Source organism: Homo sapiens, chromosome 2 (assembly GCF_000001405.40).
Source record: "Homo sapiens chromosome 2, GRCh38.p14 Primary Assembly".
Lineage (NCBI taxonomy): Eukaryota > Metazoa > Chordata > Mammalia > Primates > Hominidae > Homo > Homo sapiens.
In genome coordinates, this window is record NC_000002.12 from 140128051 (window position 1) to 140154105 (window position 26055).

Here is a 26055-nt window from a genome sequence, read left to right on the forward strand (position 1 = left end):
ATGACCCACCGCGCCCAGCCAAGATCATCTTCTGAGTTGCTGTTATAGGACTGAGGTTCCTTTTTGCTGACAGACTATGGCTGGAGGGTTCTCTCAGCAACCAAAGATTGCCGTCTGATACTAGCAATGTGCCTCTTGTACAACATGAAAGAATCCTTCTTCAAAGGCATTAGGAGCCTCTCTCTCCAGTTGGCTAAGACGGAGGCTTATAAAACCAAATGTAACCAAGGAAGCAAGTATCCAATCATATTCACACTCAAAACTTTGCCCACACTCAAAGCTTTGCAATTATACAGCCCTGTGTGCCATAGGGTGGGAGTTTTCGGGGTCATCTTAGAATTTCATTTTAAACCCTATCTATTTTAGGTATTTATTTATATATTTTCTTTCTGACTTTTATTTTAGGTTGAGGAATAAATGTGCAGTTGTTACATAGTTAAATTACATGTCACAGGGGTTTAATGTATAGATTATTTTGTCACCCAGGTAATAAGCATAGTACTCAATGGGTAGTTTTTCCATCCTCACCTTCCTCCCATCTTCCATCCTCAAATAGGCCCCATTATCTATTGTTCTTTTCTTTGTCCTTGTGTACTTAATGTTTAGCTCCTACTTAACAAGGGAGAACATGTGGTACTTGGTTTTCTGTTTCTGCATTAATTCGCTTAGGAAAATGGCCTCCAGCTCAATTTGTGTTGCTGCAAGGCCATTATCTCATTTTGTATAGTTGTGTAGTGTTCCATACGGTGTATGTACCACATTTTCTTTATCCAATCCAGCATTGATGGGCATCTAGTTTAGTTCCATGTCTTTGTTATTGTGTATAGTGCTGAGAGTTACATATGCATGCATGTGTCTTTGTGGTAGAATGGTTTTTATTCTTTTGGGTATGCCCAAGGATGGTATTGATGGGTTGACTGGTAGTTCTGTTTTAAGTTCTTTGAGAAACCTCCAGACTGCTCTTCACTATGGCTGAACTAATGTGTATTTCCATCAGCAGTGTATAGACATTCCTTTTTCTCTGCAACCTCGCCAGCATCTGTTAGCTTTTGAGTTTGTAATAATAGCCATTCTGACTGATGAGAGATGATATCTCATTGTGGTTTTGATTTGCATTCCCTAATGATTAGTGATATTGAGCACGGTTTTACATGTTTGTTGGTCACATGTAAGTCTTCCTTTGAGAAGGGTCTGTTCATGTTGTTTGCTCATTTTTTAATGGGATTGTTTGTTTTTTGCTTGTTGATTTGTTTGATTGAATTCCTTATAGATTCTGGATAGGAGAATTTGTCAGATACATAGTTTGCAAATATATTCTCCTATTCTGCAGGTTGTCTGTTCTATTTACTCTGTTGATAGTTTCTTTCGCTTTGCAGAAGTAAAATCACTGTTAAATTCTTAACTTAAAATAGTTTTCACATCAGTATCTTTTAAAATTTAATTGTATAATCTATTTATTTTCTCTTATTCCTGTTTAGAATCTAGTCATCATTAGATTAGACACCTTCTCTGACTTTTTCACTGCTCTTTTTTCATGCTTATAATGAACCTTGAAAGAGGGGAAATATTCTATAGTGCTGCACATATAAATATATGATTTAATGGTCTCTAAAAAGAAGTCATACATTCAGGGGAAAAATATATTTTTATGTCTACCTTATAATGGAACACCAGAATGAAATGCAGCTGAGATAGCAGATGAAATGTAAAGATATAAATAAAGCAAAGATATGTAAAGTGCATATGCACATACATGTGTATGCACAAATATATTAAACCTTGTGGATTGAGGAAGCATATCTAAGAATGATGCCAAATTCAGGAATCATAAAGAATAAAAGATTTGACTACATAATAAAATTTCTATAGACTAGAAAACATTATTAAAATGGTTGTTTTTTTAAAAAAGACAAACTCCAAACTTTTAATAGATATGATTTTAAAATAATTATATATAATTAGAATATACAGATTTTTATTTTATTTTATTTTTTGACAGAGTCTCACTCTGTTGCCAGGCTGGAGTGCAGTGACAATCTTGGCTCACTGCAACCTCTGCCTCCCAGGTTCAAGCGAATTCTCCTGCCTCAGCCTCCCAAGTAGCTGGGACTATAGGCACACGCTACCACGCTCAGCAAATTTTTGTATTTTTAGTAGAGGCAAGGTTTCACCATGTTGGCCAGGATGGTCTCGATCTCCTGACCTCGTGATCCGCCCACCTCGGCCTCCCAAAGTGCTGGCGTGAGCCACTGCGCCCGGCCATGAATATACAGATTTTTAAGATAAAGACAGACATCCTAATTTTTGTAAATGGACAAAAAATATTAAAAGAAATATTTTAGAAGAGATGCAATGGGTCATGCTAATAAAATACTTTACTATATTTTCCTATCAGAGTAGTAAACATTAAGCCAGTGAAGTGCCATTTTTTTTTATCTTTCTGTTGATAACAGTAAAAACAATGATGCTACTCAATATTGCTAAAAAAAAGCTTCTTATACACAGTCAGTAGGAAGGAAAATTGATGCAACATTTCTGAAGAGAAATGAGGTAATCAATATCAAAATTTATTTTAATCTATAAATTCAACAGCTTGGAACTGATTGGACATCATCTAATTAGTGTTCTATAGAAAATTGGAAACAAATTTTTGTTTAATTAAATATTATGCTAAATTCATAAAATGCTATATAATTTATTCACTTCAAATGAATTATTTTATTTTAAAATCATTTAATTTATTAATTTAAAATGGTGATATAGATTTATCTTTTCTTTCTTTTTTTTTTCTTTTTTTTTTTTTTGAGATGGAGTTTCACTCTGTTGCCCAGGCTGGAGTGCAGTGGTACAATCTTGGCTCACTGCAACCTCTGCCTCCCAGGTTCGAGCGATTGTCCTGCCTCAGCCTCCCAAGTAGCTGGGATTACAGGCATGTGCCACCACACCCGGCTAATTTTTTTTGTATTTAGTAGAGATGGGGTTTCGTCACGTTGGTCAGGCTGGTCTTGAACTCCTGACCTCAAATGATCCACCCGTCTCGGCCTCCCAAAGTGCTTAGATTACAGGCATGAACCACTGCACGCGGCCCAGATTTATCTTTTATATGCAGTGCTAGACATCTAAAATATACTTCATATGCAAAATTACATAGATGTATATAGTTAGCTAAATATCTCTCTGAAGGGCTAAAGAGGTTTTGGGATCATTTTACTCTAACTAAAACACTTTAAAAATAAAAAATAAAAAAGAGAAGAAAATAAATAAACCTCCCTGACACCCTGACAAAAGTTTCAGTAATCTGTTCAAAGTTAGTGACACAGCTAATGGCAGATTTTTCTCTTTTTTGTATTATGCACTTTTTATTTTTTTGCTTTCTATTATAAATGTGTTGCTTCTGTGCTGAAAAAGATGTTTCAATGTTAGTTTTAATTAAATCATTTTCAACTAGGCATTAAGCTCTTAAAAAGATCATTTATAAAATAAAGTGTAAAAATACTCAAAATCACTCAAACATAAAAATGTCAAGTATCTAGGATTATTTTTATCTCTAACACAATGGCCTCAAAGTCTAAGTAAAAATAACCAGTTTACCTGAACAGAGATCACTAGACTGAAAAATCAATCCATTTGTATCAAAGTCCTCCACAGAGTGTCCTAGTCAGATAATCTGCAAGTCTTTTGACTTCTCAGACTTCTTCTCTTACTTTTTTTTTGCTTTCTGTAGTAGAAACTGCTGACTTGTCAGCTAATGCAGGCTGAAGGCACTATGGTGTAGAAAAAAAAGCACAGGGAGGACAAAAAAAATCTTAAATCATCTAATGTTAATTTAAAAAACTAGACTACATGCATCACAAGAAACGAGGTGAAGCTCATTTGTTGCAACTTGAACAATTTTATTCCAGTAGTCCTCAAACTTTATTATGCCCCAGAATCACCTGGAAGGCACTGTAACACACAAATGGCTGAGACCCACCTCCAGAGTTCTAATTTAGATTTTGTATGAGCTCCTAGGCATAGTTAGTTCAGGACAACATTTTACAAATCACTGCTGCAGTGCCACCCTTAGTTGACTACTTTCTTAAAAGTTATAGCCATGGAAAGGATATAGATGTAGATGATCAAGATAGAGATATACTAGCTAGATATACTAGATAAACTAGATATACAGATAGAGATAGTTCAACCATCTTCCCCACCAAAATGTAATCTCCACAAGTCAATAAGTAAAACGTAAAATCAAATATGTCCTTGAAATAATTCAGATATAAAAAAGGCATTCAAGAAGACAAAATACAATGGCATTGTACAAAGTGCCCACGGGTTGGTGTATCAAGTATGGTGGGTAAAGGCTAACTTTTTTAAAGGGATTACATTTAAATTCAGAACAGAAAAGAAACTAAGAAAATTCTCGTTAATAATATGGAGAGGAAGTGTTCCAAGCAAGAGAAACAGAAAGTTCAAGGCCCTAGAATGGTACTGAGATTGGAGAAATAATAGGGTAGAAAGAAGCTTGAATCTTACACTTTGCAATGGGAATAGAAGAACAAGAATCTTGTTTTGTCTGTCTCTGAATCCCAATGCCTCAACTAATGCCTGATACATAGAAAGTGTTCAATATGTATTTGTTTAAGAAATAAATGTGAATTATTAAAGGGATGAATGAGCAAGTTGCTGGGGAGAAATGTGGGTATGGATTTCAGTGGATGAGAACATCCTTCTTGCAAACAGAGATATAACTATTTTTATAGCTTTGGTTTAGTATTACAAATAACAAAATAAATTGTCAACATTTACTCTCAGATTGCTCTTACAAGTATCAAGCAAAGGACAACTTGCTATTATAACTAAAATTGCAGTACAAGAAATAAAATATTAACATAGTTTTGTATTTGAACATTCTGGAGTGACTGTGAACCACAAGAATATAGCAGAGATAAAGATATTTAGAAAATATTGACGGGCATGCATTGCCTTCCAATGCTTGAGTTTGTACTATAGAGATAAGACCAAAACTTGGGTAATTGCTACAGCCTTCACTTTGAGCAAGCTGGGAAGTGTGGATAAGCAATGTTTCATATAAACTGAGACTATTTTCGTCTTATCTGCGAGTGATGTTAAACATTGGTGCATTTTCTTCTTACATTTTCATTATTATTAAGAAATTTAATACAGTGTTCAATGCATTTTAGTCACTAGATTTTGAGAAGAGTAAAAAAAAAAAGAATTTGAGACGGAGTCTTGCTCTGTCACCCAGGCTGCAGTGCAGTGGCATGATCTCAGCTCACTGCAACCTCCACCTCCCAGGTTCAAGTGATTCTCCTGCCTCAGCCTCCGGAGTAGCTGGGATTACAGGCACGCACCACCACGCCTGGCTAATTTTTTGTATTTTTAGTGGAGACAGGGTTTCTCCATGTTGCCCAGGTTGGTCTCGAACTCCTGACCTCAGGTGACCTGCCTGCCTGGGCCTTCCAAAGTGCTAGGATTACAGGCGTGAGCTACCTCAGTGAGCTGAGATCGCATCACTGCACTCCAGCCTGGGCAACAGAGCGAGACTCCATCTCAAAAAAAATAAAATAAAACCTCTTCCTTAAGTAGGTATTATCCATGGTATGATTCACTATTATTTATTATATTTTTTCTTTTTTTAAACTATAAAAATACCACATGCAAAAAGATGCAAGAAGTCCTATATAAAAATAAATATAATGGAAAGTGAAAATGAAAACTTCAAAGCTTTTCTTTCTCCTGTCTCACCACAACTTGGCATACAAAATTACTGACCTTTCTCTATGATGTTGTAAATTATATATATTAAATATGTGCATATTATTAAGTATATGTTTTCTATAACCCACATTTAAAAAATCTGAAAAAAGTCTATTAAAGAATAATTTTTAAACAAAGTTGACTCTCATAATGGTAACATATGTTAAAGAGCTTATTTAAATCATTCTTAGTGAGAAAACTGTGAAGGTTTGTTAACCCATTCAAAGGAGAGTTCCAAACATACAAATATTCATAGATCAGGAATATGGAAGTGAATGTGCAAAAGGAGGCAAAGTGGCTTCTTCTACATTGGGAGGGGGAATTAAACTGAACTTTTACAGCACAGAATTAGCATATCTATACACAGGATCTTGCATTGTTACCAATCTCTATAATTTGGAGTTCTATAACTAGCTCAAAAGCAATATAAAGCTAGAACTGGATGACCAATTCCATGCGTGCTCTAGACAATGCTTAATTTTCCACTGATGCAGAAATTTCTCCCTACAAAACAAATGGAAATTTTATATTTTTATTATACATATCAGCTAAATCTCATTCAGCCAACTTATAAGAGGTTATGCATGGTAAAAATGAGAAATGTTCCTTCATGGTTTGTAATTTTTTATATACATTTTACAAACACACCTATATGTGCACACACACATTCTTTCCAGGATGTAACATGTAGAGCATTTCTTTTGCTATAGCACATTCACTAGAGTAGATATAATCTATTCAAACACTCCTATTAATGTACATTAATTTATTGCTTCTGTTGTTACAAAAAAATACCACCATAATTCTTATAATATTCAGTATTATTCTACCTGATGCTTTCATTTCTCTAGGTCAGATTTCTCTAAAATTTTTGAATCAATAATCATGAAATTTTTCCTACCAACTATTATTGAACTCGTTTTCAAAAACCTTGAGATGAGTTAAACTCTACCAGACACATATGAAGCAATCTATCCATACCATGACCTGTGCTGTTTAGCAACATTTTATTTTTTTTCAATCTAAGTGGAATTCTTAGAAGCCCTAGAATATGAGTGACTTTGTGAATTTCTATCCAGGAGCATCATAGGACTTCTTTCCATTTATTGTTGTAGGTCCTTAAATAAAATGTTTTGTTTAATCTACTTAAAAAATATTTTATTAGAAATATTTTACTTTCTTTAAATAGATTCTATATTTTAAAAACTCCTCCTCTCTCTCTCTCCGCATATATATTTCAGCATATGGCATATGAAAACACAGTTTTTTTAAAAAAAATCTCATATCCACTCTGCTTATGAGATTATCTCAATTTTAGTAGTTTCTTATTTGATCTCTTTTTTGATGACATTATGATATTTAATGATATTATAAACATGTCCTGGAACTGTTAGAGGAAATGGGTCCAAATCCAGACACCAAGAGAGGGTTCTCGGATCTGGCGCAAGAAATAATTCAGAGTGAGCCTGGACTAAAGTGAAAGCAAGTTTTTTAGGAAAGAAAAGGAATAAAATAATGGCTACTCTATAGACAGAGTAGTCACAAGGGCTGCTGGTTGTTCATTTTTTTAACGGTTATTTCTTGATTATATGCTAAACAAGGGGTGGATTATTCATGCCTCCCCTTTCTAGACCATACTGGGTAACTTCCCGATGTTGCCATGGCATTCGTAAACTGTCATTACACTGGTGGGAGTGTATCAGGAGGACGACCAGAGGTCACTCTCGTCACCATCTTGGTTTTGGTGGGATTTGGCAGGCTTCTTTACTGCAACCTGTTTTATTAGCAAGGTCTTTATGACCTGTATCTTGTGCTGAGCTCCTATCTCCTATAAGTTAGAATGTCTTAACCATCTGGGAATGTGGCCCAGAGGTCTCAGCCTTATTTTACCTAGCCCCCATTAAAGATGGAGTTGCTCTGGTTCACATGCTTCTGACAGAATTAAACACTGTAAGCTGATGTCCTACAATAGAGAACCTAGGATTCTAAGATCCTGGATCTAGAAGTCACCTTCCCAAGAAGCAACACCATTTTCTTCCACTCCTGAGTATTCTAAACTTAGGATTGGTGTGGAACTAGGAACAGACCTGTGATAACAGAGGCCTCCTGGATTGCTGATGACTGAAATCTTACCTGAAAGTTAGTCTTCCTGTTAAAAATTTTAACTCAGCCCAAGCTGGATGCCTCTGGCACTTTGGATTCCTACAAACAAACTGAAGCCTGGGTGTAAAGACATAAGCTTGACCAATCAGAAACTGCTAATTAACCTTTAAGTGGGAACTTTCAGTTGGATCACTCTCAAATAAGGCAAAGGCCTAGCTCTAGCTAATCAAGTAATTGCTTCACTTCTGCATCCAGCCTATGCAAGCCCTGTGCTCACACTGCTAAACTGGGGCACTCTGAGCCTCTTTTGGTTTTAAATGCTGCCTGCATCATGAATCGTTTAATGCTCAAATAAACTGTTAAATTTATCTTGTCTGAAGTTTTCCTTTTAACACTTCTTACTGTCCTTTGTAGGTTTTATGCCTGTATAAAAAGTAAATTGTATTAAGGAAAAAAATGGGAAATGAAGTGAATATGACCACACAAAAAAAACTCACCTGTCTCAAATGACATTATCTATCCTAAATAGAAAAATTAACCTTTATCCAAAGCCTCTTTCTGCTTACTTGCTAGTTCTACTGCCTAAATATAGCCCCAGCCTCACCATTTCCCAGAATCTGCAGGAGTTGCCTTCTGCCACATCTAACTTTGAAATGATAATCCTTTGACAGCCCTTCTGTTACTTGTTTAGACTTTACATCCTGATGCACACAAATTCACAGCCATCCAGGTGGAATCAAAATCTGAAAGGGATTCATCACTTTGAAGAAACCAGGCACATTATTTCACATTTTTTTCTATCCTTAATTTCTCCCCTGGGGATATAGCACTATATAAACTTGACAAACAATAAATAAGCAAATGAAATCAGCATCTCAGATAGGAGTTTAAGCTCAAAGACAAAAGAAGTTCAAAAAAGAAATAACCTAATTAGTTTCATTAGCATTTCAATAGAATTTGGACCCCTCTGAAGGGGGTGGGGATGAGATTCCACCAAGTGTCATTGGAAATGGGCACTTTGGTACTCTTGACAAGCTAGAGAAGAAGGTAATCATTTTACTTAACTTGTTTTTTAGGTTCACTCATTTAAAAGAACTAACAGTTCCATTGCTCTTGGCAGAATACAACTGTGATTGCAGCTTTTCTATTCAGTGCACTGGAAATATCAGTGAATTTCTCCAACTGAGAGTGAGACATTGGCAGTATTTCCCGATAGTATGTGTCTGTTGTTATTATTTTTCTCCTCTACCTGTTGACAGTTTGATTTTGATAAACTTTTCAAGAATACCTAAATAATATAATAATCTAAATCATTGTCACAAAAGAATATAGAAACAGATAAATACATTAATTCAGCAGCCTCAGAGTCTGATGAGTTGCATTAATCACACCAATGAGCGCTTAATGTGGTTAATTTCAAAAGCAGCAGGATTTAAGCACATACATACTTCCAAAGCTACATAATTTGGAGCAAGGAGGTGTATGAGCATGAAAATACCACATTATATACTCCTTGTGTCATACCTAGTTCCTTTTTGTTAAGATCTATTCTATTTATTCAGGGTAGCTTATAACTGAAAACTTATAAATTAAGTTTTTACATAGAGAAGTTTAAGCAATAAATTTTATTTATCCTATATCATAAAACCCTGAATGCTATAAATTCTATCTATATAGGACATGTTTTCATAATTCAGAGTTGATCAACTCTTTGTAGAAATTGTAAAATTTTAATTTTTTTATGGAAATGCAAAGTAAATGTATATATTTTTAGCAGAACTACTGAACATTTTTTCTCTTAAGGGTTGGGAGAATAATATTAAAAAAACATTAAAATGGAGTAATAGAATAATAGAGAGGAAGCATAGATGTGATATATGCTAGCATTGTCTCTAAAGTCTGAGTCACTTGAATGAGGAAGAAGGATAATGAAAGACAAAAGAAGAATCAGTGATAGTATAGTATTATCATAGTACTAATGTAACACAGTATAACTTTATACTGAAAAATTTATCTCATTTTTGAATGTTCTATTTATCAGTGGCGGAGACTATGTAAAAATGTTTATGTCTATGTATAAAAACTGAAAAATAAAGATAGAAAAATAAAGAAAAAGAGTTGATGCAGGAGAGAATATGGGTTATGAGTGAACTAAAAACTTGAACGTGTTGTTTACCAATGAAAATAATATTTCAGATCTGATAAAACCCATGACATTGTGAACCCCGATAATATGAGACAGGTCACAGTTAATTCAGAAACAGATTTCTAATTTTTTTTTTGCCATGGTTTTTGAAATTTATTTATTTTCATTTTTATTTTTATTTTTTGCCATTGTTGAGGACACACACCCATGACACAGCCTCCGGAGGTCCTGACGACATGTGTCCAAGGTGGTCAGGGCGCAGTTTGACCTTATACGTTTTAGGGAGATATGAGATATTAATCAACATAAGTAAGATAAACATTGGTTTGGTCTGGAAAGGTGGGACAACTCAAAGCTAGGAGGGCACTTCCAGGTCATAGGTAGATAAGAGACAAATGGTTGCCTTCTTTTGAGTTTCTGATCTCCTCTTCAAAGGAGGCAAGCAAATAGGCATTTATCTCAGTGAGCAGGGTGGTGACTTTGAGTAGAGTGGGAGGCAAATTTGCCCCTAAGCAGTTCTCAGCTTCACTTTTCCCTTTAGCTTAGTGATTTGGGGGCCCCAAGATTTATTTTCCTTTCACAATATCCTCTCTAAGGAATGGATATTGGCAATGATATTATGTAAACCCAGTAATTGTTTTGTAAATTTCTACCGTGCATATAGTATTGTGCTTCATATTGTAGAGACATAAAATATAGTAGAAAGTACATGCCATTTATCCTTAAAGAATATCAAGTTCACTTTAAACTGTAATTAGGAATGCTACAAAATGTCATTCGTTTTCCTTTTCTTTGCAATCAATTTTCCGTCATGGTACGTGGCTGATGGACACACTATGGGTGCTTTTACGTCACCAAAATAAGAAGAAGCAAAATGTAGCTGCCATTTAGAGAACATTTGCTATGTGGCATATGCTGCGTTAAGCATATCATATTCTTCATTTAATTAAACATCCACTATAAATGTGCCGAGTTTTTTTCTTAACTCTTTAACAAATGAGGAAAAAGAATCTTGGAGAGGTTAAGCACAATTTCCAAATTCTCATGAGTATTAAATATTAGAAGTGGGATGTTAATACAATACTATTAGAATTCACTCCTGTGCTCTTTGCTACTGCATAATGTCATTTCTACAGAACAAGCATTTCCTGTTAAGTTTAAAACTTTGCATTATAGCTTTATTGTTTTCTTAGAGTGTGAACCAAGACATCTGCAATCCAACTTCTTGAGATCAAAATTCAGGCTCAATCTTTAATCTTGAAGTCTTGGGCAAGGTTCTCATTCTGTGTATCAGAGTTCCTATATGTAAAATGAGGATAATAATATGAGAGTTAAATGCTTAACAGCATACAAGGCCCATGGTAATGTTGTGTTACTATTATTTTATTGAGTTAGCTAAAAACATATAAAAGTTTAATTTTAAAAAATTAACTATACAATCATTTATTTATAGTAAAGAAAAAAATGCTATATCACATTGACCTTTACTTACTCAAACAAAAAATAGCTTTGATCTCCAAAGACAGAGGTGATAAAACATAAGTTCGAGAAAGCATTACAGGTGCATTGAATACAAAGGAGTCACAAAAACAGGAGCAATCAATTTTGTCAAGAAAGAATGCAGAAAAACTCTTTGTAGAAAATGATACCTGACTTTAAATATCCCAAGTTCCAAAATAATCAATAATGTTCAAATACTATGGCATAAATAATCAGAGCCTGCCAATAAATAAGTATAAAAATTTTAATTAGAATAAGATTTGTAGTAGTTAAAATCTGAAATCAGAGTATGTTTGCAAACACAGTATCATGATTGAGATTAGTTTTCTTATAAAAGAGGCAAAGGGAGCTCATTTGTCCCTTCCACAATGGGAGGACACAGTGAGAAAGTGCCGTGTATGAACCAGAATGTAAGCCCTTTGCTAAACACTGAATTTGCTAGCATATTAATCTTGACTTCACAGCCTCCAGAACTCTGAGAAATAAATTTTCATTGCTTATAAGCCACCCATTTTATGGTACTTTGTTACAGCAACCTGTATATACTAAGACAGAAAGATAGGGCCTAGAAGTGGGGATGCTGTTATAATAAATAACTAAAAATGTAGAAAGGGTTTGGAACTGGGTAATAGATAAAAGCTAGAGTTTTGAGGTCTATGCTAGAAAATGTCTGCACTGTCATGAACAGACCATTAAGGACTATTCTGGTAGGGGACCAGAAAGAAAATAGTAGAGCTAAAGAGAAAGTTTCAGTCTTCTTAGAGCATAGGTAAGTGGTCATAAAAAGAATGTTGGTAGAAATATAGACAGTAAGGGCCATTCTTTTGAGAGCTCCCATGGAAATGAGGAAAATGCTATTGGACAATGGAGTAAAAGCCATGCTTATTATAAAATAACAAAGAAACTCGCTGACTTATGTGCATGTTCTAGTGTTTTGTGAAAGGTAGAACTTATGAGAAATGAAATTGGATATTTGGCTGAGGAAATTTCTAAGCAGAGTTGAAGGTACAACTTGGCTTCTCTTGAGTACTTACAGGAAAAGAAAAAGTGAGAAGAGATAAATAATTTAAAGGCCGAATTGTTAAAAAAAAAAAAGGAAGCAGAAATAAAAATTTGTCAAATTCTCAGCCTATCCATAATGAAAAAACGGTGAAACTCTGTTCAGAGGAGAACAAGAGGGTGGCCATTTGTTAAGAAGACTGATATTAATCAGCCATCTCAACAGAAGCCAGGACCTATTGCCCAACTAGGAAATGCAAAATAGAAGAATAACAATGGGAGAATAACCCCAATGGCATTTTGGAGATTATCAGGGCTGACCCTTCCATCAAAGTTTCAGAGTGCAAGGACGTACTTCTACTGCCACGTGCTGCCTCACATTGCAGGCTCCATTCCCTGCACTTTGTTTGATATCATGCAGTGTGACCTGTATCCAGCAAAGCCATGGGAATGGAGTTGCCCAAAGCCATGGAGGCAGGAATCCCTGAAGCCTTGGGGACTCACCCTCTGCTCCAGTGTGTCCAAAAGGTGGGAACTCTGCCCCACTGGTCCTGGAAGGCAGATCCTCAAGTCAAGCCTTAAGGTTGTGAATTAGCTCAGGACATAGGTATCCTTTTTTTCTTTCTTATTTATCACTTTAAAAATGAGACTGCCTATCCTACGCCTTTCCCACCATTTTATTTTGGAAGCACATTATGTTGGATTTTACAGGTTCATGGCTAGAGGGGAATTTGCCTCAGGATAATTGTACTTTGAGTCTCACCCATATCTGATTTAGATGATACTTTGGATTTAGACTTTTGAGTCAATGCTGGAATGAGTTAAGAGTTTTAAGGTTATTGGGATGAAACTAATGGATTTTTCATGTGAAAAGGACATAAGTTTGGGGAGACTAGGAGGTGAAATGCTATGCCCTAAATGTCTTTGTTCCTCTAAAATTCATATGTTGAAGTCCTAACCTTCCACATGATAATATTATGAGGTGAGGCATTTAGGAGGTGATTAGATCATGAGGGTGGAGCCCTTGTAAATGTGATTAGTGCCCTTATAAATAGGTCATAGAGAGATTGTTCAACATTTGCCCCATGTGAGGACACAGTGAGAAGAGGCCACCTATGAATCAGAAAGTAGGCCCTCACCAGACACTAAATCTGCTGGCGCCTTGATCTTAAATTTCTCAGCCTCCAGAACTGTGAAAAATATACTTCTGTTGTTTATAAGCTACAGAATTTATGGTGTGTTATAGCAGCCCAAATGGACTAAAATATATCTCAAAATACAGAATAACATTTCAATGTATCTAAATGTATTTTGTCCTGATTAAATCTAGTAGGTCCAAAGCAACTAATTACAAAATTGCTCTCTTCACAAAAACAATGTAAAAAACAAGTGTGACAGTGATAAAACTCTAATATATGGTTAATAGGTGTCATTAATTCAAAGAATAATCGGATTAATCACTAACCCCCAACCCTCAAAAAGAAATTCACTTGTGCCTAAATCTTACAGACCCCATAGGAAACAAATTGGGTTAGTGATTTATACACATTATGACCCCAGTCTTAAATAATTAATGACTTCACCAAATAACCATTGAGATTCTGTGAAGAATTTTACAAAATCATCAGTAATGGCAAACAAATTTCCATCAACTATGCTAGAGTAATAATTAAATTATTTTTCTTAACTCTTTATAGAAAGTATTCCTAGAAAATTATGATATAAACAGATATCAAGTTTCATAGCCAAAAGATGTAGAGAAAAAAATAATTATAGATGTGTCAGTAAATTAATTTGAATATTATGCTATTTTTCTGTATTGTGTAAAACTTGAAGCATTTGTCAACATCCTTAACATATAATTTATTATGCATTTTTTCTTAAATAAATTATAACATTCACACATAATTTTGTCTTTATGACTTTGTGTTCTTTCAAAAATATAATCCCCATTTTGTATAAGTTTTAGTCTCTGGAAAACATGGATTCATCTCTAAATAACAAATATAATTAGCAGTAATAAAGTCTTTGTAAAGCCTTTTCATGCTGCTTCCCAAAATTGATGTGAATGATGCTAATAAGTAGGTAAATTCTTTTGCAGTTCAGATAGTTTCTATCTTTTGAGGATTTAAATGAGTTGACTCTTAATAGATCATTAAAAATAATTTTGGTGATCTATTGCTGTGTTATGTTTTGACAAAAACCTACAAAGGAATTTTAAAAATGGAGCAAACACTTCTATATCAAAATTTCTTCTGTGTTCACCTAATTATTTAGGTAAACAAGATTTCTCAGTGCTTACATCTATGAAAAAAATAACGTTAACTGTTCATCCCTATCATGCTAGCAATAAGTTAAATTCATCCATTAGTACATAAATCAGTTGGAAAAAAAAGCCACTGAAATGTCATTAAGACATAAATTCTACTGCTTTTGCTTGACAATCAAAATTTAAAATATACACACTACTATTTGTATAACAATAGTTATAACTGAATGCAGTGAAATATTTAACACAATTTTAATTATTAGGATCACAAGAAAAAATAATTTTCATACATGTATACTCATATTACACACATGTACATATATGTAAAGTTAGAAATTAGCCAATAAGCAATTTCAAACATTAATAATTATAGTTAATAGCAATGATATTCTATGGACTGCATAAAAAAGAAGTAGGAGTTTAAGGGAAACACACAGTATTCTAAAATGGCACATGCTCAAAGACCTAATTTGTTTGTATTTAAATAGGTTAGATTGGATATGAAATTATTATGGTATTTAGATTTCATTAGTTACATTTAAAGGAATAAAGAGCCAGTTTCATTTTTAAATGTCAATAGTTACATCATGGTGGAGACTATCTCCTTTGCAGGTACTTAAAATTATAATAAATTCTTAGATTTCTATCTTAAGATATTTGCGGGGAGCACATAGTTTTTCCAAATTATTTTTATACTCAAAGGGAAAACATTTGAACACTGTGCTATGGAATTCCATGTGATACTTAATACAAATAATGTAAATACATATGTATTTACCTGGAAAACTATCTGCAACATATTGCTTAATTGTAAACACAAGATTTTGAATGTACCTAGATGTTGAAATGGGACTTACCCTGTCTTGGTTTCTACTGACATATCAACTAAATTGTATTCATATACTAAAATGGGAATGTGAAAATTCCCCACACCAATATACAAAACCTACTAATAAGATAATTAAGAAATTGCTCAGAATCTGTGTTGATAAATGTGTTTAGAGTGTGTAAAAAAGGTTGAATTGTTGAGAGCTCCTATTGACAGCCTGCTACTGAAATGATATCTTTCAAAAGACAGGGGCTAGGGAGGACCTATCTTTTAATCCAGAGCCTACTGTATGAAAGGCTTTGAGCTGGTCACTCTAAGAGCTTTAAATATATTATCTGCAGTGTAGGACACTGTGGACTCCTCCAGGAACATTGAAAGCAGCAGATCTGCCTAAGGTATTAAGTTAAGAAGTTGGGAGAGGGCTGTCACTTTGAGGGTGACCCACATATTTTCTCAGTGGTTTGATGACCAAAAAATACATGAATGTTTTCTACAGACTAGTGTTGGACCACATTGGAGAAAGAGAAACACTTCAATGCTGTTTTCAGTCCTTCCTAGAAAGTGAGAAGACCCCAGTAAACATATTCTATGTAGGATAGACCATTGGTGAGCCCAGAGGCTGAGAAACAAGCAGAAAAATAGAAGGCATCATCTACATCAAGTTGGTTATAGCCAGGAGATCTGAAGCAATGGAAACCCACAAAGAGCCTTCCAAAGTATCCTGTATCAGGCAGAACGCTGAGTCTATATTGTGGTTACTAAATACAAAACAAAACAAAGAAATCTGAATAACTTAAAAACAACCAATGTTTATTTTTTACCCCGATTCTATCTATGTTGGTATGGCAGGAGTGGTTAATGAACTGGAGAGACCAAAAGTGGGTTTAATTGCTCATGCTCTCACTTGTGATTCAAGCTACCTGGATTTCCACCATAGAATGTTTCAAGTCAGAAGAGAGTCCTAGAATGCCTCACACAGGCAATGAGCTTCTCAGACTGAGAGTTAACACGTAGGTCTCTGCCCACAATCCATTAACCAGAACTAATAAGTAAGATAACATAAGAAGGCTATCAAAAAATCTCAGTAACATACTTCAAAAGAGAAAGAGTCATTTTCAACCACATTATAGCTGAGGAGTCAGAGTCACTTAAATTCTCTCTTTTCCTTTCTTCGGCCAGGAGTATTCTGAAAAAGCAGCTCACAATTGGGAGAACAGTAGGTTTTGGAGAAATAGCAGGAGTCAATGTCTTCTCTGGAAGTAGGCAGTCACCAGCTCTAAGCTTTTTAGCTGGAGAACAGAGTGAGGAAATTAATCCATCCTTCCTTCCTTCCTTCCTTCCTTCCTTCCTTCCTTCCTTCCTTCCTTCCTTCCTTCTTTCCCTCCCTCCCTCCCTCCCTCTCTCTCTCTCTCTTTCTTTCTGTTCTTTCTTTCTGACAGAGTCTCACTCTGTCGCCCAGGCTGGAGTGCAGCGGTGCCATCTCAGCTCACTGTAACCTCCACCTCCTGGGTTCAAGTGATTCTCCTGCCTCAGCCACCCGAGTAGCTGGGATTTCAGGCACCCACCATCATGCCCAGCTAATTTTTTTTTTTTTTTTAATTTCTAGTAGATTCAGGGTTTCACCATGCTGGCCAGGCTGGTCTTGAATTCCTGACCAATGGAATATCCGAGTGTTAGTTAATATTGTTCTACATATTTAATTTATAAATTGAAAGTTTTAATTTATTTTTAATAAAGTGATATGACAATCTGTTACCTACAAGTAAACATTAAATTCACAAGATATTTTTTAATCTACAAATAGGAAATACTATCACTCATTACATATATTTTAAAGATAAGAGACAAAAGTAGTTAAATGTAATAGTTAGAAGAGCAGTGAATACAATATGACAATATAAGTTCACATTTCTGAATATATATGCAAATTTTTAAATGGCAAGAGAAACATTAAATGGATGAGTGGTGACCAGCCAGGGGACACCAGAGCTGTTATGATTTCTACTTGATTTGATTATACAGCATTGTTTTGCACAAACAGTTTGTCATAAAATAAGTATAACATAATTACCAGGATCTACTTTAGTGATATTTGAGTAAGGAGGTCTCAAAAGTTGAAGTGTCACATTTTTGGAGTTTTCTTCAGTATACTTTCACAGGCAATAATCCATCACTCATATTTCATTGTGACCTCATTTTGTCCAATAGTAAGTGAAAGCATTTTTCTTATCTATCTTCTTTTTAAAAATATCTCCTCCAAATTAATATTTACATTTTGCATTTGTTATAAAAAATTTGAGACCTCATAATCTTTTAAAACTCTTCAAAAGTTTTTTAAGTGGCTATTTTTTCTAAAAATGTTTTGAATAATCACCTGCTAAAGATTAAGTACAATCTCAGTTACTACCAATTTTCTATCCTTACTATTCAAAGTGTGGTCAAGCAACATGGCCAGGGGGTCTACCTCAGACCCAGTGAATTAGAATCTGCCCTTTAACAAGAACACTAGATGATTCTTATATCCATTAGAGGTGAAGACTTTTTTTTCTAAAATTCATACCATACTAGAGCAAGATTTTACCTTTCAAAAACACCAACAATTCTACAAATCTCTAGTCTTAAAACTTTTCTAAATCTTAGGTATATATTGACTAACAGATATTTTCCAATTTCTTACATTTCTTATAATTCCTTCAACTTAATCTAGATTCTCATGTCAACTTATCATTGCGCTCATAAAAATGTCTAAACCATTGATTACTGATTATTTTCTTTTACTATCTATCATCATTCATCTACATTTTATTCTTGGCATAGAATAGATTTCACCATGTGTCATTATGATCACCTTCTTACAAATGTCCTTAACTCCTTTGCACTTCTCACCTTCCATATGTAAGTCTGGCAAAATCTGAGCCTATGTGAAACCTAAACATTTAGTTTCTTTTCACCCACACCCTTTTGCTCAAATGTTGTTAAAGCAAATCACATGGACACGCTGACTACTCTCACTTTAGGGACAGAACTATGAATCATAAATGGGCAACCAATGCTTCCAGGCAGCCTTCTACACTCTCCTTTTCTTTCCTTTGCTTTCCCCTTTTATGTCCCAATTAAATGATTACTACATCTTCACTATAATACATTATAACAATGCAGAAAATTATAAATAAGGAAGTAAAAACTTCTGGAATCTCAACAGGCTGAGACAGTCATTATTATCATTTTGATTGTCACCCTTTCATTCACCTATTTATGCAATTATAAATATATACTTCTCCATAAATGGAATTATACTATTTATGTTATATTAATGTAAGGTGACTTTCCCTCTCCTGCCCCATTCTTTCTCTTGCATCAGCACTGAAACTGTGATATCCCTGTCACTCGCCTCTATAGTTTCTCCTTCTTGTGTGTATACACAAACAGCTCTATGTAAGGAGGTGTGTGTGTGTGTGAATATAGTCAGTCACTGTTTGCTTTACATAATGAAATTATATTTAACTCTATAAATCTTGCTTTTTTATACATTACCATGCATCCTAGAAATTATTCTAAGTCAATTGGCTTATAGTTAATATATTCAAATTCATATAATAGTCTAGCAGCAAAATTTATTCAGCCATTCTCCAATAATAAACATTCATGCATGAATAGCAAAGACCCATGGAATCAACCTAAATGCCAATCAATAGTAGACTGGATAAAGAAAATATGATACATATTTATACCATGGAATACTATGCAGCCATAAGAAAGAATGAGATCATGTCCTTTGCAGCAACATGGATGAGCTGGAGGCCATTATCATAAGCAAACTAAAGTAGGAAAAGAAAACCAAAACCAAATGCCACTAAACAATGAGAATACATCAACACAAAGAAGGGCACAAAAGATGAGGAGGGCTATGTAAGGGGGGCAGGTAGGAGAACGGAGATAATCAATAAACTACCTATCAGGTACTATGCTTATTACTGGAGGCATGAAATCATCTGTCCACCAAACACTCATGACACATAGTTTACCTAAATAACAAACCTGCGTATGTACCCTTGAGCCTAAAATTAAAATTTGAACAAAACAAAACAGTAAAATACACATGCTTTGGCCACTGTAGATAATATTACTGCAAACATTCTATATACAGGTCTTGTGGATTGGTAATATGCATACGAATTAGATTTCTGTGTTTATAATTTTTCAGTAAAAGGTTATGAGTATTTTGAAAATTTACTGTATTTACCCAGAATGCCAAAAAGATGTTATTTTTTCACATTTATAACAGATCTTTATTAGATCTTCATACAATGTTTGTAAGGTTAATAGTTGAATGCAGTATCTAGTTGTAAGCTTAATTTCCATTTCTCTGACTATTGGTATATTTATTTTTTCAATGAGTTTGTCAGTATTAGCACAACAAAAATAATCTTTTAAATCCAAGCATTCTCCTAAAATTCAAGTGTCTTTCCAGAGAAGAGTAAGGAATCATGTAATGACTTCTAGGCCTTGGGCCTAGAGATAATCCTGGGATAGAGATGTGAATGAGGAAGTTCAGAAGGGAAGAAACAACTGAAAGGAACTGGGACGGAGTGAATGAAATTAGGGAAATAAAGAGGGACTAAAGAGCTGCAGATCTGTTGCTCATCTGAAGTAAGTTCTATATGAACTGAAAGATAACTTGATAGGAAAAATAAATATTTTGCTTATCTTCAAAGTACTGGTATGCTTAAAAAGTTTTCCAATATTAATAACATCTTCTTTCTGGCAGTGCAATTTATGTGAAGTGCCATCTGATGGAGAAATAACTGAAAACGTGATTTATGGATGGAAAACTCAGGAGAACCAGTTAAGGTCAGAGTGGGCCTGCAGGCTTCATTCAGCCTGACCTTTTGAATCCTGATTTCAACAAAGCTGATAGTCATTTTACAGACTATCTCCTCACTTATTAGGGCTTTCATAAACCAATCAACCTAATAAAAAGATTATTATCAATGATTGATTACATGATTCTTACATCATGATCAGATATGTCTAGGCTTGAAGTTTTCACCTTTACCAGAGATCTACTCATCAAGAATATACAGAGACCAAAATGTTTCTATGTAGATCCAAATGAAACATGGAGTTTGCTTTAAAGTATTTAAAGTATTACCGGTGAATAAACTGGTGAACTAGATGAAACCAGAATGGCATATTACTGATAATTGTTGAAGTTATGCAATGAGTTTAGGCAATTTTTTTTTTACATTTCTCCTTCTTTCCTATAATATAAACAAAAAATAAGAGAATTATGTATGGGGTCAAACAGAGAAGACTGACTGAGATTTCTTTCTTTCTGCCCACAACTATCTATCTATCTATCTATCTATCTATCTATCTATCTATCATCTATCTATCTATCATCATCTATCTATCTACATCTTTACTCATTTTGAATAGGTACTATATTGTTACTTTGATCTGTTTCTGTGGGAATATGTATGTACATATTTGAAGTTGCAAATACCTGTCATGTTTTTTAATTAGTCTGTTAGCAAAAATGCAGAATTCTGCCCTTGGTACTTTAATTTAAATTTGTATTCCTTCTTGTGTGCTTACTTTTCTAGAAATAATTTTCTCCCCTTTATTTGACATTTTGATACTAAAATTTTACATTATGAATAAAGCAATACATTGGGGAAAATTGAGCTGTGTTTCAGAAACAAGATTGTAAGTCCTCAGTAAGCTATTTTCTCAACAGTCTTAAGTTGAGAAGGATTTAAGGATTTATTCTGCCTTTCAGCATTAGCTTCATAAATACTTGCCTGTTCCTTTTATGAGTTAAGAAAGGAGTCCTTTAGGTGGATAACTTAGCACCTGGAGTGTCCTAGATTCTGCAAAACATTTTGAAGAAATGTAGCATTTCTGTCCCTGAAGCATGTCATTTTAAGTTCAGGCAATTCAAACAATTCACATACGATTTTCTTCAATTAATAAAAAGAGGGAACTTCTAGAAATCTTTTGATCTGGAACTACCTACTTTAAAGTTCAAAATTTTTTAAAAAGAGAGAAAGCTTGAAAGTTCAGAGGGAAGGTCAGCGGCAGAAAATATATGTTGAAAATGAGAGCTATAAGTGATAAGCAAATAAAAACTAGGGCAGAATGAGAGAGAATCTATAGATAGAAGAAAAACATCTAAAACTTAGCAGCTCCACATTGGTCAAGGTTACTGAAATATGCAGCTCCCACTGTAGGAAAGAGAGAGAGAGACTGATATGCTGAGGCGCTGAGCTAACTCCCTTCTCCAATCCATTGGCGTGTTATACATTAAGATGACTCAATGTTGGTAAAGTTTTCTTGATTATCTTTATTTTTATTTTATTTTATTTTTGAGATGAAGTGTTGTTGTGTCCCCCAGGCTGGAGTGCATTGGTACGATCTCAGCTCACTGCAACCTCCGCCTCCCAGGTTCAAATGATTCTCCTGCCTGAGCCTCCTGAGCAACTGGAATTACAGGCACCTACCACCATGCCCGGCTAATTTTTATTTTATTTTATTTATTTATTTTTTTTTTGTAGAGATGGAGTTTCACCATGTTGAACAGGCTGGTCTTGAACTCCCGACCTCAAGTGATCCGCCCTCCTCAGCCTCCCAAAGTGCTGGGATTATGGGCGTGAGCCACCGTGCCCAGCCTTGATTATCTTTTAAGTGAATTAAAATCATAAACTTTTAAAAACCAAGTTTAAGAACTGTTTGTGTGTGTGTGTGTTTTCCAGTTAGCATGAATGAGTCATTCTTTCAATAAAAAGTGAGTTTTAAACTAAGTATTGATGGCAATTTTTATAGCAATTGATTTGTATCAACAGGAAATCTAAATTACAGAGTTGCCAAACTTCGATTAAAACGCTTTTCTTCCATTCTTACCTAGGAGGCATAAATTGCTGTGTGACCCTATTTTCCGGTAGATGGGGAATTTAACAATCAGATGACATTTAATAGCAAATGGATACTTGCTATTGTCTCAACAAAGCACCAGGTGGAATGAAGGTAATCAATATTTTATTTCTTATCCAAATATTTTTTTCTTCAATGACACAGATTTTTACATTGCTCCAATCAGTGTAAATTGATCGTTAAAACAGAGCTGAAAATAAATGTAAAGATTTTTATATCACCGAAGAAAATACAACTTTTTAGGTATCTCTCAGAAATTGCACTCTATGTTCTGAGTTCTTTTAAGTTGCAAAATTATTAAAATATTGTGAGTCTTGAGATAAAATAAGTTAAAATGCAATTCGTTGAAAACAATTTAGTGGCCATAAATATGGACTTCCCCTAAACTCTCCAAAAATCCTAGGCAGATTTTTTTGTTTCATGTGTTTAATGAGGGATTGGGTCTATTTTTCTTCAATGCACTTCAGTGATTGCTTGGCAAGATATAACAAAAGACCAGAAATGGTTCCAATTATCAGTGTAGAATGCCAGTCACACTTCATTTTTAATCCACCACACCAAGAAATATAACATACCAGCATAGCGTATGAAGATAAATTGATTTTCTATTTATTGAATTAAATCTCTGCCTTTGAGTAATTTTAAAGTTTTAAACTTGGCAGAATTTTATTTGAACACTAAGCTATATCTTTTTATTTTTTGACTTTTAAATTAGCTTCTAAATTTTCTCTCAAGTATCACCTGGGTTACTGTTCAGTATTCTCTGGTTTAATCTTCTTTCTAGAATAGGATTTATGTGACGTTCATAATAAAATCATGTAACTCTAATTGATGTGGATAAATTATACATCAGTTGTGCAATTCCTCAGTATCTGGAGCTCATTTGATATAATTAAAATTCAATTATTTAATTGCTAATTGGAATTAAATCAAGTTATTCTGGTCTCAAGATAACATATAGTAGATACTTTGCAGAATGTAAAGTTGGTATTGTTTCCATGCTTTTTATATTTATATATAAATGACATATTATATTAAAATTAAATGAGTTAGGATTCTAAAGAAAAATGACAGATTGTAATAAACATCTCTAAATAATTAGCTTACACATCCAAGAGCTTGATACCTCATTCAAATCATTTGCTTGAAAAGCATTGCACATTTTTCACTAGCCTATCATCACATTATTTTCGAGTTTTCTTACCTACTTTTCCAGTCACAAAAAAATTCAGATTCATTTTTTAGAATTATACTGTTTCTGACCAAAAATAGTGTTACATAGTTTGATCAGGCACATTATTCACCAATTTGGATATCATTCAAGGTGGGTTTTTGGCTATTTTAAAAAAGAAATTCATTCTCAAAGAATGAAGATCCGGCAACTGCAAGAGTATTCAGTGGAGTGAGCCTCAGATCTAAGAGCTGTTGATGCAAAAAAAAAAGAGCACAAATATGACATTCTTTTAATTATGTAATTTCCCAGGTATTAATTTGGTTTTGAGTATAATAAATAGGATCTATATATCAGAGTTTGTTGAAATTTAAGACAAGATTTTATTTTCTCAATCATCATAAAACATACTCTATACATACAAAATGCTTGAAAACATCAGTAGTCAAACTGATATTTGGTGTGTGGTTTGATTTTTGAAACTGTAAAGTGGTAAGTGTAGAGGACACGGATTTTTTCACAGTCATCTGAAGGTGTGGGTATCTTGTCCCCTCTCCTTCTATGTACATATACCTGGACACATATACACATGTGCACATAAAGTTATTAAATAAATCATTGTTACCTCTTATGAAAGTCATCAATGATATACCACATACACCTAAGATGGCCTTACTGGCTTTGGTCAAAATATATTATCAGAATTCTTACCTATTTTCCTGAGTTTGCTTTAGAAAGGTGGTACTGAAAATACCAATTTACATCTAATGTCTGTTCATTATGCTATCTCTCAAGGCTTATAAGAATGTACTTGACTATATACTACATACTATAAACTGTAATTATTACTATGAAATGAACTTCTTGTTGTAGATAATATCCCTACTTCAAATATTTATTTTCTTGGGAAAATATTTTGTAGGTATATGTTGTCACCACTGATTGATTAAATGCATTTTGATTGGATGTAATAAAGTTACTGCAATAGAGTGATGGTTTGTTTCTACATTCCAAAAATATATTATTTGTTCAAAGTAAAACTGGGAATTAATATATGCTCAATGCAACTAAAGACAAAGTAGATAGTATAAGTAGCTTACTGCCTAATCTATGTTGCTAAAAATGAGTTTGATTTTTTGTTATCAATTATTTTTTATACCGAACAGTATCATAGTTTACATATTTAGAAAAGAAAGGTGACTTTTATAACTCATTGTGGTCAGTTTCTAACTATAACTTTCTGTGGCCAAAATGATTATTTTAAAATTTTCAGAGGCTTGTCTCTAAAACAAACAAATATAAAACTTATGTAACGAAATTTTAAAGCAGTTACACAGCTATTATATCCTGTGGTGCACACCACGGTAAATACTTTTTACATTAAGTAAAGTTGCCCTGATGTTTTCGTTTATATAATGCTACCACATAACATGCATAGTGTATTAGTCCGTTTTCACGTTGATGATAAAAACATGCCCAAGACTGGGAAGAAAAAGAGGCTTAATTGGACTTAACAGTTTCACATGGCTAGGGAGGCCTCAGAATCATGGTAAGAGGTGAAAGGCACTTCTTACATGGTGACAGCAAGAGAAAATGAGGAAGAAGCAAAAGCAGAAATCCCTTATAAACCCAGAAGATCTCGAGACTCATTCACTATCATGAGAATAGCATAGGACAGACTGGCCCCCATGATTCAATTACCTCCCCTGAGTCCCTCCCACAACACATGGGAATCCTGGGAGATACAATTCAAGTTGAGTTTTGGGTGGAGACACAGCCAAACCCCTGGTCTCTCCAAATCTCATGTCCTCACATTTCAAAACCAATCATTCCTTCCCAACAGTCCCTCAAAGTCTTAACTCATTTCAGCATTAACCCAAAAGTCCACCATCCAAAGTCTCATCTGATACAAGGTAAGTTCCTTCCACCCACGTGCCTGTTAAATCAAAAGCAAGCTAGTTACTTTCTATATACAATGAGGGTACAGGTATTGGGTAAATAAAGCTGCTCCAAATGGGAGATATTGGCCAAAACAGAGGGGTTACAAGGCCCATGAAGGTCTGAAATCCAGCGGAGCAGTCTAATTTTAAAGCTCCAAAATGATCTCCGTTGACTCCAGGTCTCATATCCAGCTCATACTGATACAAGAGGTAGGTTCCCATGGTTTTGGAGCCATGGTTCCCTGTGGTTTTGCAGGGTACAGCCTCACTCCCGGCTGCTTTCATGGGCTGGTGTTGAGTATCTGTGGCTTTTCCAGGCACAAGATGCAAGCTGTCTGCCATTCCATGTGGTGCACGGTGCAAGATCTACCATTTTGGGGTCTGGAGAACAGTGACCCC